The sequence below is a fragment of the Homo sapiens genome, chromosome X (assembly GCF_000001405.40).
Source record: "Homo sapiens chromosome X, GRCh38.p14 Primary Assembly".
Taxonomy (NCBI): Eukaryota; Metazoa; Chordata; class Mammalia; order Primates; family Hominidae; genus Homo; species Homo sapiens.
In genome coordinates, this window is record NC_000023.11 from 118,899,952 (window position 1) to 118,917,369 (window position 17,418).

Sequence of the window (17,418 nt, forward strand, 5' to 3'; positions counted from 1 at the left end):
CTGCCTCAGGAAGTCATGTTTTAAGGAATTCTTAAACTGCCCTCCTGAGTACCCCCAAATGTCTCTTGCTAAAGTTTAATCATGTCTGAACTTTCCAGCATCAGAATCATCTGTCTGGACTGAGGAATTCCAGAAGACCTCCCTAAAAATGCAGATGCGTCACTTATGAGGATATTCCATGATGAAGTTCGGCCCTGTGGGATTAGAATGATACCTTTTGATTTGAGATGTGTGAGAGGTCTGAAATGGTGCTCAATGCTAAGAAATAGGAACTCCAGCTTACATTAAGAGGTGGGACAGGGAATGACCCTGCCCAGCCAGGTGTCAGCAGGAGATGCTGGGACTCAGAGAGGTGGGCCAGAAGGGGAGGAAAGAGCCAAAGGAGGAGTGGGGGCATGCTGAGTACAAACTTTGCCTATTTCATAAATATGCCTGGATCATGCCCTGGTGGGCCCCACTATTGAGTTGGGTAGCTAGATGCTTGTTGGCTTCTGCCTTATCTACCTACCAGAAAAACACTAAGTAAAAGCTTTGAAATTCAATTCAATAAAAAAGAGTTTATGAATCCAGTGTACTTAGCCAAAATGAGGGATAAGGATGACTTCTGGTTGCAGGAGGGCTTTATTCTTTGTTTAGTTTCCTCTTCTTTTGTGCTTCCCCTTTCTCCTCAAAGGCAAGCCATCACGGAGGTCCTAAGGAACTCAATTGTCAAGTATTGAACACTGCCAGTTTCTATAAGGAAGGGAGTCAGTCTGAGGTAGGAGGATTTAACCTGGAGCTGAAGGCAATAGGACAATCTTTGCACACTGCATCCAGAAGTAAGCATCCCTTCTGGCCCGACACGGTGGCTCATGCCTGTAATCCCAGCACTTTGGGGGGCCGAGGCGGGCAGATCACTTGAGGTCAGGCGTTCGAGACCAGCCTGGCTAACATGGCGAAACCTTGTCTCTAGGAAAAATACAAAAATTACCCGGGCATGGTGGTGTGCACCTGTAATGAGGCGCTTGAACCCAGGAGGCAGAGGTTGCAGTGAGCTGAGATTGTGCCACTGCACTCCAGCCTGGGCAACAGTGCGAGAATACGTCTTAAAAAAAAAAAGTAAGCTTCCCTTCTGCCTGGGGTTAACCAGGGCCATGGTCTTTTTCACCTTTTTTTTTTTTTTTTTTTTTTTTTAAGACAAGTCTTGCTCTTGTCGCCCAGGCTGGAGTGCAGTGGCACAATCTCGGCTCACTGCAACCTCTGCCTCCTGGGTCCAAGCAATTTTCCTGCCTCAGCCTCCTGAGTAGCTGGGATTACAGGTGCCTGCCACCATGCCCAGCTAATTTTTGTATTTTTAGTAGAGACGGGGTTTCACCATGTTGGCCAGGCTGGTCTCAAACTCCTGACCTCAGGTGATCTGCCTGCCTCGGCCTCCCAAAGTGTTGGGATTACAGGTGTGAGCCACCACACCCATCACCAGTGTTATTTTATAGCTCCCCTCCCAACTACAGACATATACAACTAATGAAGTAAGGGTGTGTATGTCCAGCAACACAGCTAATTTCTGTCAATTGGCCAATGCTCAACAATTGACAAATTAGTAGACTGTGCTTGAGTTGACACTTTTACAATCCAGTGCTTCATAAAACAGATGGCTGCTTGTTTTATTCATATATAAGTGGCTCTTAGTGCATCAAAAGGATGTTTAAAACAACAAAAGAACAATCAAAAGCACAATTTGTCACCTCGATTCTTAACAGATTCAAGCCGTATAATGATACGAGCCTTTGGTTAAACAAGCAAAATGACAGATTGCCAGCAGAGGTATTGAGGCAGGCACAGTCCCATTCCTGATGGGTTCTGGCCATGACACCTGTACACCAAGCAGGTGTGTTTACGTGTGCCCCAGGAAGTGGGAGATCTGAGCATTAGGATATTCCAGACCTCTTCACATTAGTAGTCATAAAGGAAGTGCAATTTGAGGAAGAGCAGAAATAAAATACACTCAGGAAGCTAGTAAGGCATTCTGAGACCCAAATGAGAACGGGAAAGAAATGCATCTTTAGTGCTGATGCAGTCAGGAGCCTTTCATGTTGAGCCTTTCACAAATGAGGTGTGAACATTTTCAACTGAGGTAACAACCTCTCCTCCATTTTTGTTGATCTAATTTTCCATTTCAGTTGCTCCTTCTCTGTACCCAGCCCCACTGTGGGACTGCACGCTAATTATCTCATGGTGGTTATACCATCTGCTGAAAAAGCTGGCAGCTGGGCAATCACCGTCTTCCAAAATTGTGGCCTCCCTCTACCTGCCCTGGTACAAAAAACAGAAGGCAGTGTGTTGACCCCTGTACCCTGCTCCAGGGACTGCATCAGCTTCACAGATTGGAACAGAAACCTAGAACTTAACCCGTTCTCCAAGCTGGAGCCTCCTGTGGGGTTCCGTACTGAGGTTTTGGGACTCAGCCTATGTCTACACATTGCCTAGGTGGTGGACCCGATGACACGGTCAATATGGTGAAAGTAATTGAGAAGAGTACCAGACGTGTGGTTTGTGATCCAAGGTCTGAGGTAAAGGAACTAGTTAATTTCTTGGCCACTGCTTTTACCTCTATCAGTAGCCACCTGGGTACACATGATAGCTGTTTGGTCACAAGAGTGTGAGAGAGTATGGATGATTCAGAATAATCTCATCCTCAATGCTAGCAAAAGAACTGAAAGGACATGGCTTATTCATAGATCAGTTGTACCATCTTTTCATAGAAAGGACAGCACAGGCTGAGCATAGTGGTTCACGGCTATAATCCCAGAACTCTGGGAGGCTAAGGCAGGAGGATTGCCTGATGCCAGGAGTTCAAGACCAGCCTTGGCAATATAGCAGTTGCCATTTATTAAAAAATGATTAAAAATAGCGAGGTGTATGGCCAGGCACGGTGGCTAACACTTGTAATCCCAGCACTTTGGGAGGCTGAGACGGGCAGATCATCTGAAGTCAGGATTTCAAGACCAGCCTGGCCAAAGTGGCGAAACCCTGTCTCTACTAAAAATACAAAAATTATCTGGGTGTGGTGGTCCACACCTATAATCCCAGCTACTCGGGAGGCTGAGGCAGCAGAATCACTTGAACCTGGGAGGTGGAGTTTGCAGTTGGCCGAGATCACGCCATTGCACTCCAGCCTAGCGACACAGTGAGACTCCATCTAAAAAAAAAAAAAAAAAAAAAAAAAAGTCAGATATGGTGATGCATACCTGTGTCCCAACTACTTGGGAGGCTGAAGCAGGAGGATCCGTTGCGCCCAGGAGTTTGAGGTTGCAGTGAGCTGAGATCATGCCTTTGCACTCCAGCCTGGGTGGCAAAGCAAGACTCTATCTCAAAAAAAGAAACAATAAAAAAGAAAGGCGACGTGATCTTTATTCACACCCCCTCTCTAAAAGTATTCTTAAACTTCAGAATAGAAGCAAGGAACTTAGGTGTTACACTGGAAAATCATTCCAAGCTGGCAGTAAGGAAGAAGGTGAGCAGGGCACACTGTCTCTAGACTAATTTCCCTCCAAAAAGCTTTGAAGGTTTGGTAAGAATAGTTGATGAGTTGAGAACAGTAGTTATACACCCTTTCTTTTACATATATCAAAACATTCTAGGCTGGGCACGGTGGCAGTGGCTCAGAGCTGTAATCCCAGTACTTTGGGAAGCCAAGGTGGGCAGATCACCTGAGCTCAGGAGCTTGAGACCAGTCTGGGGGGCAACATGGAAAAACCCTGTCTCTACGAAAAATACAAAAATTAGGCTGGGCACGGTGGCTCACGCCTGTAATCCCAGCACTTTGGGAGGCCGAGGTGGGCGGATCACGAGGTCAGGAGTTTGAGACCAGCCTGACCAAAATGATGAAACCCCATCTCTACTAAAAATACAAAAATTAGCCAGGTGTGGTGGCACGCGCCTGTAATCTCATCTACTCAGGAGGTTGAGGCAGAATCATTTGAATCTGGGAGGTGAAGGTTGCAGTGAGCCAAGGTTGCACCACTGCACTCCAGCCTGGGCGACAGAGCAAGACTCCGTCTCAAAAAAAAAAAAAAAAATTAGCCATGTGTGGTGGTGCACATCTGTAGTCCCAGCTACTTGGGAGGCTGAAGCAGGAGAATCACTTGGGCCTAGAGGCTGAGACAGGAGAATCACTTGGGCCTGGGATGCGGAGGTTGCAGTGAGCCGAGATCATGCCACTGTACTCCAGTTTGAGCAGCAGAGCAAGACCTTGTCTCAAAAAAAAAAAATCTCTTAACATTTTATGACAACTGTGAGAGAGGTAATGAAGAGAGAACAATATTCACTATCTCCTCAAAAATTAGCAGGGTTGAGGAGTAAACCTTGATTTTATCAGGAAAAAAAGTGGTTTGTTTCCCTCTTTTGAGCCATTGATTTGCTCTCAAGGGGACACACCCTTACTGTTGTACAGCTGAGCACTGATATTAATAGCAAGAGGTCAATCACATTTTCCCCTATAACTCTCACTTCCTTTTACTTACCATATTTTGTGACTGGGTTTTTGGGGTTTTCTTCTATTGTCATGACCTTGAAAAGAATATAGTCAGCTTCTACCCATTTGTATTAATGTAGGAGAGCAGTGATACAGCTACAAGAAAAGTGTAGATAAACCAAATGTCAAAGAATCATAGGCTGCTCCAATTTCTATGGCTGGAAGAGCCATAGAAATAACAGAAGCCAGTTCATCACTTTTATGTTTGGAGAAATAGAAACCCAGAGAGAGAAGGTGGCAAATCTCATGACTCCTGTTCCTGTTCTCTTTCCAGAATATGATATATGACTTTATTGCCACACACTTTCCTTTCTAATTATGATTTGTAAAGGTTATCAGTTGGCATTCCTGGGACATGTAGCCAATTTGGTGTTAAAAAAATAGATCCAGAGCCATACAAATGGTAGGGAAATGTAGGCCCAAATTAAACATTAATCCTGAACAATCAGATCCAGAGTCGACTCTAGCTTTCATTGTTAAGTGCTGGCTTTCTCCTAGGTTCTGTCCTTGGCCCTCTTTTCTTCTATTTAGAGTAGCTCTACATCCAGGGTTGGTCTATCTGGCAAACGTAAGACTAAGTCTGAATTAGCCCCTCCTGCCCCCTGGCAACTTCCATCATATTCTTTGCCTTTATAAATTTATGAATTTGATTATCTTCTATTCCAAAGAGGAGTGAGATCATGCAGCTTCTCTCTTCTGTGTCTTGTTTATTTCACTTAGTATAATGTTTCCAGCTCCATCCATGTTGTCGAAAATGGCAGAATTTCCTTCTTCTTCTTTTTCCTCTTCCTCCCCTTCCCCTTCCCCTTCTTCTTCTTCTCCTTCTTCTTCTTCTTCTTCTTCTTCTTCTTCTTCCTCTTCCTCTTCCTCTTCCTCTTCTTCTTCTTCCTCTTCCTCTTCCTCTTCTTCTTCTTCTTCTTCTTCTCCTCCTCCTCCTCCTCCTCCTCCTCCTCCTCCTCCTCCTCCTCCTCCTCCTCCTCCTTCTTCTTCTTCTTCTTCTTCTTCTTCTTCTTCTTCTTCTTCTTCTTCTTCTTCTTCTTCTTCTTCTTCTTCTCCCTCTTCTCCTTCTTCTTCTTCGACAGTGTCTCGCTCTGCAGCCTCAGTCTCCTGGGCTCAAGTGATCCTCCTGCCTCAGCCTCCCGAGTAGCTGGGACTATAGGTGTGTACCACCACACCTGGCTAATTTTTTGATTTTTTATAGACACAAGGTCTCATTATGTTGCCCAGGCTGATCTCAAACTCCTGAGCTCAAGCAGTACTCCTAGCTCAGCCTCCCAAAGTGCCGGATTGCAGGTGTGAGCCACTGCACCCAGCCTTTCCTTCTTTTTTGAGGTTGAATAATATTCCATTATATATCTATACACCACATTTTCTTTATCCATTCATTCTGCCACTGCACCCAGCCTTTCCTTCTTTTTTGAGGCTGAATAATATTCCATTATATATCTATGCACCACAGTTTCTTTATCCATTCATTCATCAAAGGACATTTAGGTTTTTTCTACACCTTGGCTACTGTGAATAATGCGGCAGTGAACATGGAAATGTAGCTATCTCGTCAAGATGCTGATTTCATTTCCTTTGGGTGTATACCCAGAAGCAGGATTGCTGGATCATATGGTAGTTTTGTTTTTAATTTTTTGAGGAACCTTCATACTATTTTCCATAATGACTGTACTAATATACATTTTTGCCAGCAGTGTACAAGAGTTCTCTTTTTTCCACATCCTCACCAACACATAACTTTTCTCTTTTTGATAGTAGCCATTCGTTCTAACAGGTGTGAGGTGACATCTCATTGTGGTTTTGATTTTCCTTTCCCTGATTAGAGATATTGAGAATCATTTAATATACCTATTAGCAATTTTAATTTCTTTTCTTGAGAAGTGTCTATTTAGGTCCTTTGCCCACTTTTTAATTGGCTTATTTGTGTTTTTGGCATTGAGCTATACAGGTTCCTTATATATTTTGGGTATTAATCCCTTATTGGATATATAGTTTGCAAATATTTTCTCCCATTCTGTATGTTGCCTTTGCATTTTGTTGATTGTTTCCTTTGCTGTGCAGAAGATTTTTAGTTTGATGAAGACTCGCTTGTCTATTTTTCTTTTGTTGCCTGTGCTTTTGCTGTCATATCAAAAAGTCATTGCCAAGACCAATGTCAAAAAGGCTTTTCTCTGTTTTCTTCTAGAGTTTTGTGGTTTCAGATCTTATGTTTAAGCAATCCATTTTGAGTTGATTTGGTATATGGTGTGAGCTAGGGGTCTTAGTCTTTTTCTGATGCTGTAACAGAATACCAAAGATTGGATAATTTATAAACAATAGTTTATTTGACTCATGGTCTGGAAGCTGGGAAGTCAAAGAGCATGGCACCTGCATCTGGCAATGGCCCTCGTGCTCTATTATCTCATGGCAGAAGGGCAAGACAGAAAATAAGGGGACTGAACTCCCACAATAACTACATACTCCATTGATAGCAGCATTAATCAATCCATGAAGTTGAAGCCCTTATGTCCTAATCATCTCTTAAGATCCCACTTCTTAATACTCTGACAATGGCAATTAAATTTCAACATGAGTTTTGGAGGGAACATTCAAATTATAGCAGGGTCCAATTTCATTCTTCTGCATGTGAATATCCAGTTTCCCCAACACCGTTTGTTGAAGAGACTGTCTTTTCCTCATTGTGTATTCTTGGCACCCTTGTTGAAGATCCGTTAACCATAAATGAATGGGTTTATTTCTGGGCCCTCTATTCTGTTCCATTGGTCTATATGTCTGTTTTTCTGTCATTACTATACTGTTTTGATTGCTATAGCTGTGTAATATAATTTGAAGTCAGGGAGTATGATGCTTCTAGCTTCTTGTATGATTGCTTTGGCTATTTGGTGTCCTATACGAATTTTAGGATTCCTTTTCCTATTTCTGTAAAAAATAATTGGGATTTTGGTAGGGATTGCATTGAATCTGTAGATTGCTTTGGCTAGTATGGACATTTTAACAATATTAATTCTGCCAGTCTGTGAACAGGGGATGTCTTTCCATTTGTTTGTGTGTTTTAAAATTTCCTCCATCAATGTTTTATAATTTCTAGTATACAAATTTTTCACCTCTTTGGCTAAATTAATTCCTAAGGATTTTATTCTTTTTGTTGCTAATATAAATGGGATTTTTTTAAATTTGCATTTCAGATAGTTTGTTGTTAGTTTATGGAAATAACATTAATTTTTTAACTTTTATTTTAGGTCCAGGAGTATATGTGCAGATTTCTTATTTAGGCAAATTGTGTGTGGTGGGCATTTGGTGTACAGATTATTTTGTCGCCTAGGTAATAAGCATAGTACCTAATAGGTAGGTTTTTGATCCTCACCTTCCTCCCACCCTCCATTTTCTTTTTTTTTTTATGAACATGGAATATGTCTCCATTTATTTGGTTTTTCTTTTTTTTTAAATTATACTTTAAGTTCTAGGGTACATGTGCACAACGTGCAGGTTTGTTACACATGTATACATGTGCCATGTTACCTAATGTAAATGACGAGTTAATGGGTCCACCCTCCATTTTCAAATAGGCTCTAGTGTCTGTTGTTCTCTTCTTTGTGTCCATGTGCACTCCATGTTTAGCTCACACTTATAAGTGAGGACATGCGGTATTTGGTTTTCTCTTCCTGCATTAGTTTGCTTAGGATAATGGCCTTCAGCTCCATTCACGTTGCTGCAAAGGACATGATTTTGGGTTTTTTGTTTTTGTTTTTGTTTTGTTTTGTTTTTGAGACAGGGTTTCACTCTCGTCACCCAGGCTGGAGTGCAATGGTGCAATCTCAGCTCACTGCAAACTTCACCTCCCGGGTTCAAGCGATTCTCCCACCTCAGCTTCCCGAGTAGCAGGGATTACAGGTGCCCGCCACCGCACCTGGCTAATTTTTGTATTTTTAGTATAGACAGGGTTTCACCATGTTGGCCAGACTGGTCTTGAACTCCTGACCTCAGGTGATCTGCCCGCCTTGGCCTCCCAAAGTGCTGGGATTAGAGGCATGAACTACCACGCCTAGCTAATCTCTCTCTCTCTCTTTTTTTTTTAAATGGAGTCTCCCTCTGTTGCCCAGGCTAAAGTGCAGTGGCGTGATCTCAGCTCACTGCAACCTCCGCCTCCTGGGTTCAAGTGATTCTCCTGTCTCAGCCTCCCGAGTAGCTGGGACTACAGGCGTGTGCTACCATGCCTGGCTAGGTTTGTTTTTTTGTTTTTTTTTTTTTTTTTTTTTTTTTTTTTTTTGAGACAGAGTCTAGCTCTGTCACCCAGGCTGGAGTGCAGTGGTGCAATCTCGGCTCACTGCAAGCTCCGCCTCCCGGGTTCACGCCATTCTCCTGCCTCAGCCTCCAGAGCAGGTAGGACTACAGGCGCCTGCCACCACGCCCGGCTAATTTTTTTGCATTTTTAGTAGAGACAGGGTTTCACCGTTTTAGCCAGGATGGTCTTGATCTCCTGACCTCGTGATCTGCCCACCTCGGCCTCCCAAAGTGCTGGGAATACAGGCGTGAGCCACCGTGCCCGGCCTGCCTGGCTAGTTTTTTGTATTTTTAGTAGAGACGGGGTTTCACCATGTTAGCCAGGATAGTCTTGATCTCCTGACCTCGATCCGCCTGCCTCAGCCTCCCAAAGTGCTGGGATTACAGGCATGTGCCACCACGCCTGACCAGTCTTGTTCTTTTTACGGCTGTACCCCATAGTATATATGTACCACATTTTCCATGGTATATATGTACCATATTTTCTTTATCCATTCTACCATTGATGGGCATTTAGGTTGATTCCTCTTTTCTATTGTGAGTAGTGTTGCAGCGAACATACGTGAGAAATGACACTAATTTTTGCATATTGGTTCTGTATACTGTAACTTTACCAAGTTTATTTATTAGTTCTAGCAGTTATTTTGGTAGCATTTTTAGGGTTTTCTGCATATATGATCATGTCATCAGGATATATAAATCATTATATTTCTCTTCTTATTTGGATGTCTTTTATTTCTTTCTCTTGCCTAACTGTTCTGGCTAAGATTTCCAGTACTGTGTTGAATAGCAGGACAAGAGTGGGCATTCTTGTCTTGTTCCATATCTTAGAGGAAAAACTTTCAGTTTTTCTCCACTGCTTATGATGCTTGTGATGGTTTTTAATATTTGGGCTTTATTGTGTTAAGGTAAGCTCCTTCTATACCTATTTTGTTGAGGGTTTTTATCATGAAGGGATGTTGAATTTTGTAAAATACTTTCTTTGTGTCTATTGAAATGATCATATGGTTCTGCTTTCATCTTATTAATGTGGTGTATCACATTGGTTGATTTGATATATTTGTATATTGAACCATCCTTGCGTCCCACTAGGGTTTTTGCATCTACGTTCATTGAGGATATTGGCCTATAGTTTTTTTTACTTGTGATGTCTTGTCTGGCTCATGGTATCAGGGTGATGCTGGCCTTATAAAATGAGTTTGGAAGTGTTCCTTCTTCCATTTTTTGGAAGAGTTTAAGAAATTTTGGTATTAATTATTCTTTGAGTGTTTTGTAGAATTTTCCAGAAGCTTGTCTAGTCCTGGACTTTTCTTTGTTGGAAGCTTTTTGATTGCTGATCCTATCTCTTTGTTTTTTGTTTTTTTTTGAGACAGAGTCTCACTCTGTCACCCAGGCTGGAGTGCAGTGGCGTGATCTCTGCTCACTGCAAGCTCCGCCTCCCGGGTTCATGCCATTCTCCTGCCTCAGCCTCCGGAGTAGCTGGGACTACAGGCACCTGCCACCACGCCTGGCTAATTTTTCGTATTTTTAGTAGGGACAGGGTTTCACCGTGTTAGCCAGGATGGTCTTGATCTCCTGACCTCATGATCCGCCCACCTCGGCCTCCCAAAGTGTTGGGATTACAGGCGTGAGCCACTGCTCCCGGCCTTATCTCTTTGTTTCTTATTGGTCTCTTCAGACTTTCTATTTCTTCTTGATTCAGTCTTGGTAAGTTGTGTGTTTCTAGCAATGTATTCATTTTTTCTAGGTTATTCAATATGTTGTTCATAATAGTCCCCTATGATCCATTTTCTGCATCATCCATTGTAATGTCTCCACTGTCATTTCTGATGTTCTTTTTTCTTTCTCTTTTTTTTCTGTCACTGTCCACCTAGAGATACATTTCTGATTCTATTAATTTGTGTTTTCTCTTTTTTTTCTTAGTGTAAGTTTGTTGATTTTATCTTATTGATTGCCTGTTTCATTCCACTGCTGTCTGAGAAGATACTTGGTATGATTTCAATATTCTTAAATTTGTTAAGACTCATTTTGTGACCTAACATGTGATCTATCCTGCAGAATGTTCCATGTGCACTAAAGAGGAATATGTATTCTGCTGCTCTTGGGTAGAGAATTCTGTATATGTCTGTTGGGTCCATTTAGTCTATAGTGTTGTTCAAGTAAGCTGTTTTTTAATTGATTTTCTGCCTGGATGTTCTATCCATTATTAAAAGTGGGGTATTGAAGTTTCCTACTGTTATTGTAGTGCTGTCAATTCCTCCCTTCAGATCTGTCAATATTTGTTTTAAATATTTAGGTGCTCTGATGCTGGGTGCATATATATTTTTAATTATTATATTTTCCTGCAGAGTTGATCCTTTTATCATTACATAATGACCTTATTTGTCTCTAGTGACAGTTTTTGACTTAAAGCCTATTTTGTCTATGTAAGTATAGCCACCCATGTTCAATTTTGGTTATGATTTGTATGGAATATCTTTTTCCTCATTCCTTCACTTTCAGCTTATGTGTGTTTTTATATCTAATGTCAGTGTCTTGTAAATAGCATATCACTGCATCTTGTTTCTTATTCATTCAGCCACTCTATGCCTTTAGATTGGAGAATTTAGTCCATTAACATTGAAAATAATTATTGGCACATAAGGACTTACTATTGCTATTTTATTATTTTTTATCTGTTTTGCAGTTCTTTCATTTCTCTCTTGCTGTCATCTTTTGTTATGTAATTGTTTTTGTAGTTTATCATCTACTGATTGAACCACTTGCAGCAGTCTCTGCCTAATTTGTTTCCCTGCCTCCATAATTGCCCTTCTTCAATTCTATTGCAAATTTATTTATTTATTTTTATTTATTTATTTTTTTGACACAGAGTCTCACTCTGTTGCCCAGGCTGGAGTGCAGTGTCATGATGTTGGCTCACTGCAATCTCCGCCTCCTGGGTTCAAGCGATTCTCCTGCCTCAGCCTCCCGAGTAGCTGGGATTACAGGCGCCCACACTACGCCCAGCTAATTTTTTGTATTTTTAGTAGAGACGGGGTTTCGCCATGTTGGCCAGGCTCGTCTCGAACTCCTAACCTTGTGATTCGCCCGCCTCGGCCTCCCAAAGTGCCGGGATTACAGGCGTGAGCCACCGCCCCAGCCTGCAAATTTATTTAAACCAGTTTAGCCTCTCACATCATCAGGTACTTTTCAGTGATATCAGTAGCTTCTAATGGCTAGAGGTAGCTGGGGAGTTTAGTTCTTCCTCATCCCCCACAATCTCCCAACCAGTTGGTATGTTCTAATGAAAACACAAATTTGGTGCAATTCTGTCAATCATGCATTTTTTTTAGCACTTAGACGTAGTCTTGAAACCTGTCTTCACAAGCTCCATTAAGCCCCATGTAGGAGCAATTCACTTGAAGCACATGCAGCAGTTCTCCAGTAGTAGCATTTTAGCTCAATGGGCAGACCAGGCAATAGAATCATCCATTAGGTGTCAGGATGTAGAAACTAGTAGATTCCTAGAACTAAGATGCCACTCTGGGATCACCAGTTTTTTAGGCTTCATTTATGTGAGGGTAGAGAGAAGTGTCCATCCATGTATCTAGAACACCATTTATTTCATGAATGAATGACTCTTTTATGTGAATGAGCAACCCCTCTAGTGTAGGTTTAGGTAGATTGGTTGCAGTTTTTCAGTAACTGCCTCTGGAGGGTGGACTCACAATTAGTGTCTTTATATGCAAACTAAGTGCTGCTGGAAAGTGTTTGTCACTGGGGGTACTTCAGATATTAACTGCCCCTAGAGTATGTGTATATCTACATGTACATGTGTGTAAGTCTATGTGTATCTCACACTGTCTCTGCGGAGTATTTTTAAGTAAATTGTAGACCATATAACAAATCTACTCTCCCATATGTATCTGTCTACATTGTTCCCCTACATAAAACTCTTTTCTTCTATGATTCTTCTATGTTACCTACAAAATAAAGTCCAAATTCCTTCAAGTGACCTACAGAACTGCCCCTGCCCAGAACAGCCCCTACCTCTTCCTTCCTTGTGCTTTATGGTCTAATGGAGAACTGCCAAACTGCTTGTAGTTAGCCTCCATCAACAATACTGCTGTATGCCTGTGTTTTATGCTCATGCTCTCCCCCTGCCTGGTAAACCTTTCCCACCTTCACCTGGCTCTTTTTTTTTTTTTTTTTCTTTAACAGAGTCTCGCTCTATTGCCCAGGCTGGAATGCAGTGCAGTGGTGTGATCTCGGCTCACCACAACCTCCAACTCCCTGGTTCAAGCGATTCTCCTGCCTCAGCCTCCAGAGTAGCTGGGATTACAGACACATGCCACCACACCCGGCTAATTTTTTTTTTTTTTTTTTTTTTTTTTGAGACGGAGTCTTGCTCTGTCGCCCAGGCTGGAGTGCAGTGGCGCCATCTCGGCTCACTGCAAGCTCCGCCTTCTGGGTTCATGCCATTCTCCTGCCTCAGCCTCCAGAGTAGCTGGGACTACAGGCGTCCGCCACCACGCCTGGCTAATTTTTTTTTTGTATTTTTAGTAGAGACAGGGTTTCACCATGTTGATCAGGATGGTCTCAATCTCCTGACCTCGTGATCCGCCCACTTTGGCCTCCCAAAGTGCTGGGATTACAGGTGTGAGCCACTGCACCCGGCCCTCACCTGGCTAACTCTTATTCATCTTCTGTGACTCAGCTCCAGGCATCAGTCCTTCCAAAAAGCTTTCCTGTAACCTCATTTGGAGTTAAGCTTATTCATTTTATCTAACACTGGTGTAGTGTAGTGCTTACTCTGTGTCAGGAATTATATTCTAAGCACATTTAATCCTCACAACTCTATGAATTAAGTTTTGTTATTATCTTGATTTTCAGATGAGGAAACTGAGGCACATAGAGGTTTAAGTTGCCCATGTTCACATAATTTGTAAGTGGCAAATCCACACTTCAGATCCAGGCTGTCTGGCTTTGAAACTGCCTTTGCAAAAATTTTAACAGTGAGAAAAGTATGGCAGTGGGGGAGATCTGATCTAGCCAATCCCCATCTTGCCTTTAGCCTTCAAGCTACCCTTAATTATTCCTGGGCTTGGGCCAAGCTAACTTTGGGAGATATTTAGTTTATAGTTTATTTTTATTTTGAGACACAGTCTTGCTCTGTCACCCAGGCTGGAGTGCAGTGGTGCGATCTCAGCTCACTGCAAACTCTGCCTCCTAGGTGCAAGTGATTCTCGTGCCTCAGCCTCCTGAGTAGCTGGTACTACAGGCGTGCACCACCACACCTGGCTAATTTTTGCATTTTTAGTAGAGGCAGGGTTTCGCCATGTTGGCCAGGCTGGTCTGGAACTCCTGGCCTCAAGTGATCTGCCCACCTCAGCCTCCCAAAGTTCTGGGATTACAAATGTGTGCTACCACGCTGGGCCTATAGTTTAAATGCTAATAGCCCTTACCCAAAACTCAACTGCCTTTTAAAAGCTAATGAGAGACCACCAGGTTAGGAGGATAAAGGAGCCGAATTCTGCCAAAGTGTAGACATAAACGATTGGTAACCATTATTCCAGAGGTCACCAGATACGCAACTTCCCCATTTACTCTGCAGATAACATCACTATTGTAGAACCTAAGATTGGCTTTTTGAGATATCATTTCAGGGTTTTCGCGTGTCTGAAGGACTGATGGCTCCACCTGAACCTGCCAACCACTCCTGTGGCCTCAACCAAAAGTGACTCAGTGCGCATGAGGACCATTTCCCATACCCCCATGTTTGTACCACCAACCAATCAGCAGCAAGCACCCATTACTTAGCTACCCCCATCCCTTCTTCTAAACTGTCTTTGAAAAACCCTAGCCCCCAAATTATCAGGGAGACTGATTGCAATGATGACTCCATTTCCCACATGGCATGGCTAGCCTCATATCTATTAAATTCTTTTTTTGGGGGGGGGGCGGGTAGAGGGTCTCACTCTGTCATCCAGGCTGAGTGCAGTGGTGCAATCATGGCTCACTGCAGCCTTAAACTCCCAGGCTCAAGAGATCCTCCCACCTTAGCCTCCTGAGTAGCTGGGACCACAGGTGTGAGCCACCACACCCTGCTAATTTTTGTATTTTTTGTAGAGACAGGGTCTCGCCATGTTGCCAAGGCTGGTCTCCAACTCTTGGGCTTAAGTGATCCACCTGCCTTGGCCTCCCAAAGTGCTGGGACTACAGGCGTAAGCCACTGTGCCTGGCCTAAACTCTTTCTCTATTGCAATGCCGTGGTCTGGTTTTGTCTGTGCTGTGGGCAGAAGAACCCATCAGGCAGTTATAGCTTTGGAGTCTGTGCTCTAAATCCATATGCAGTGCTACTTCCCAAGGGCACATCCTCTGTATTCCGGCATGCTTCTATCTTAGCATTTAGCATAATAATTAGAAAATGCGTCATTTCATATGTGCCTGCTAGTCTACCATGAGGCTCTTAAAATGTATTAATATCTAAGGCAGTATGGTATAGTGGTTAAGATCATGGAGTTTGGAATTAGACAGAACTGGGGTTAAGTTCCATCTCTGCTATGTATTGGGTGTGTAACCTTAGGCAAATTATTTAACCTTTCTTTTTTTTTTTTTTTTTTTAGATGGAGTCTTGCTCTGTTGCCCAGGCTGGAGTGCAGTGGCACGATGTTGGCTCACTGCAACTTCTGCCTCCCAGGTTCAAGCGATTCTACCACCTCAGCCTCCCGAGTAGCTGAGACTACAGGTGTGCACCACCATGCCCAGCAAGTTTTTGTATTTTTAGTAGAGATAGGGTTTCACTATGTTGACCAGGCTGGTCTCGAACTCCTGACCTCAGGTGATCTGCCTGTCTTGGCCTCCCAAAGTGCTGGGATTGCAGACATGCACCACCATGCCTGGCCAAATTATTTAACCTTTCTATGACTTGCTTTTTTCACCTGTAAAGTGGTATCTCCTCACTCCTAGCCAGTGCTTTTCCCCAGGGGTAAACATTTCCAATCTTTCTATTTCTGCACCCTCCATGGTTTATTTCTGACTATCTGGACAGAAAAAGAGAGGACAATTCCAGCCTTGTCCTGAGCATAAAACCACTAGCATCGACCCTAGTTTATTTTGTGCACTGTGTGCTTTGACTCATGTCCAGATCCTCTTCCTCACTCTGGAACCCCCTACAGATCCCTCATGATCTGGCTAGAGACCATATAAAGTGGGGCTAAGAATACCTCACAGGGTAATGGAAAGAATGAAATGAGATGATGTATCTAAAGCATCTGGCAGAGGGTCTTACATAGTAAGAAACTCTGAGTAATGCCTGACACTTATAACTCGTTATTAATATCTCTCCATCTCCAGCAACCAGCACGGTGCCTGGACAATAGACATTTGAGAACTATTTGTTGAACTGAACTATTTTGGAAAACTTTAGGCTGACATAGACATCTGAAGCATATCTTAGTATATATGACTTCAGAAATGATTCTCTGTAGTTAAGCAGAATGTGCTACCTCACTTTGCTAGGGCACCCAAAAGAGTTTTAACTCCAAAGAGTAGATAGCCCTGTAACTCTCCAGTCATGCAACTAATAAGCATATCTTTCTGGTCCTTGAAGCCATCAATTTTAATGCAGCTGAAGCTCAAATGGGATAGCTCACCACTTTGAAGTCAGACTTGTTATCGTAAGTCATCTCATCATCATTCAAAATGAAAGAGAACCCCATTTCGTTTCCTTTCCTTAGAACAAGGGCTTCAGAACTCCCCAGGGCTAGCTAGTCTCATTGGATCGCTGACCTTTTCAGTATTGAAATTCCTATGCAAATTTCCTTCTCAGCATCCCAGGGCTTTGATCCTTTGTGCGATGAATTTTATTTGTCGAATGGATGAAAAATGCAGTTATCAGACATGCCCAGGTCACCTTTGGAGAGTGTTGTGATAACAAATGTCCCCAAATGCGACCATTGATTTTCTCTTCCTTTGAGGACCTTAAAGAGCCTCTAGGTTAACCCCATTATCATCAGATCATCAGTGATCACTTCTCAGAAGTTTAGCTAGACAGAAAAAGTGGATGAAATTGAACTGAATTTGTATCAATCCCAGTCATTGCCTAAAATCTGGCAGTTCAACTAAAACTCTGATAGTTGGTTATGTTGTCACTTTTCTCTTTTCCCTGAAAACTGGTATATGGAACCTCCCACCCACCACCAACACGCACAAAAAAGCCCAACTAGTGGAGGATTATGGATTCACATGTTCTGAGGGGATTTAATTTGAGGAAAGAATGACTCTAGTGTGGTTTTGATCAGGAGAGGCTGCCTGGAGAAGGTCTCTAGCCAGACCATGAAGGACTGGTAGGGGATTCCAGAGTCGAGGAAGAGGATCTGGATGTGAGGCAAAGCACATAGTGTGCACATAATAAACTAGGGTTGATGCTAGTGGTTTTATGCTCAGGGCAAGACTGGGATTGCCCTCTCTTCTGTCCAAATCATCAGAAACAAACCATGGAAGGTCCAGAAACACAGAGGCTGAAAATATTCACCCCTAGGGAAAAGCACTTGCTAGGAGTGGGAGATATAATTTATTTTCTTTTCTTTTTCTTTTCTTTTCTTTTTTTTTGGAGACAATGTCTTGTAATATTTCCC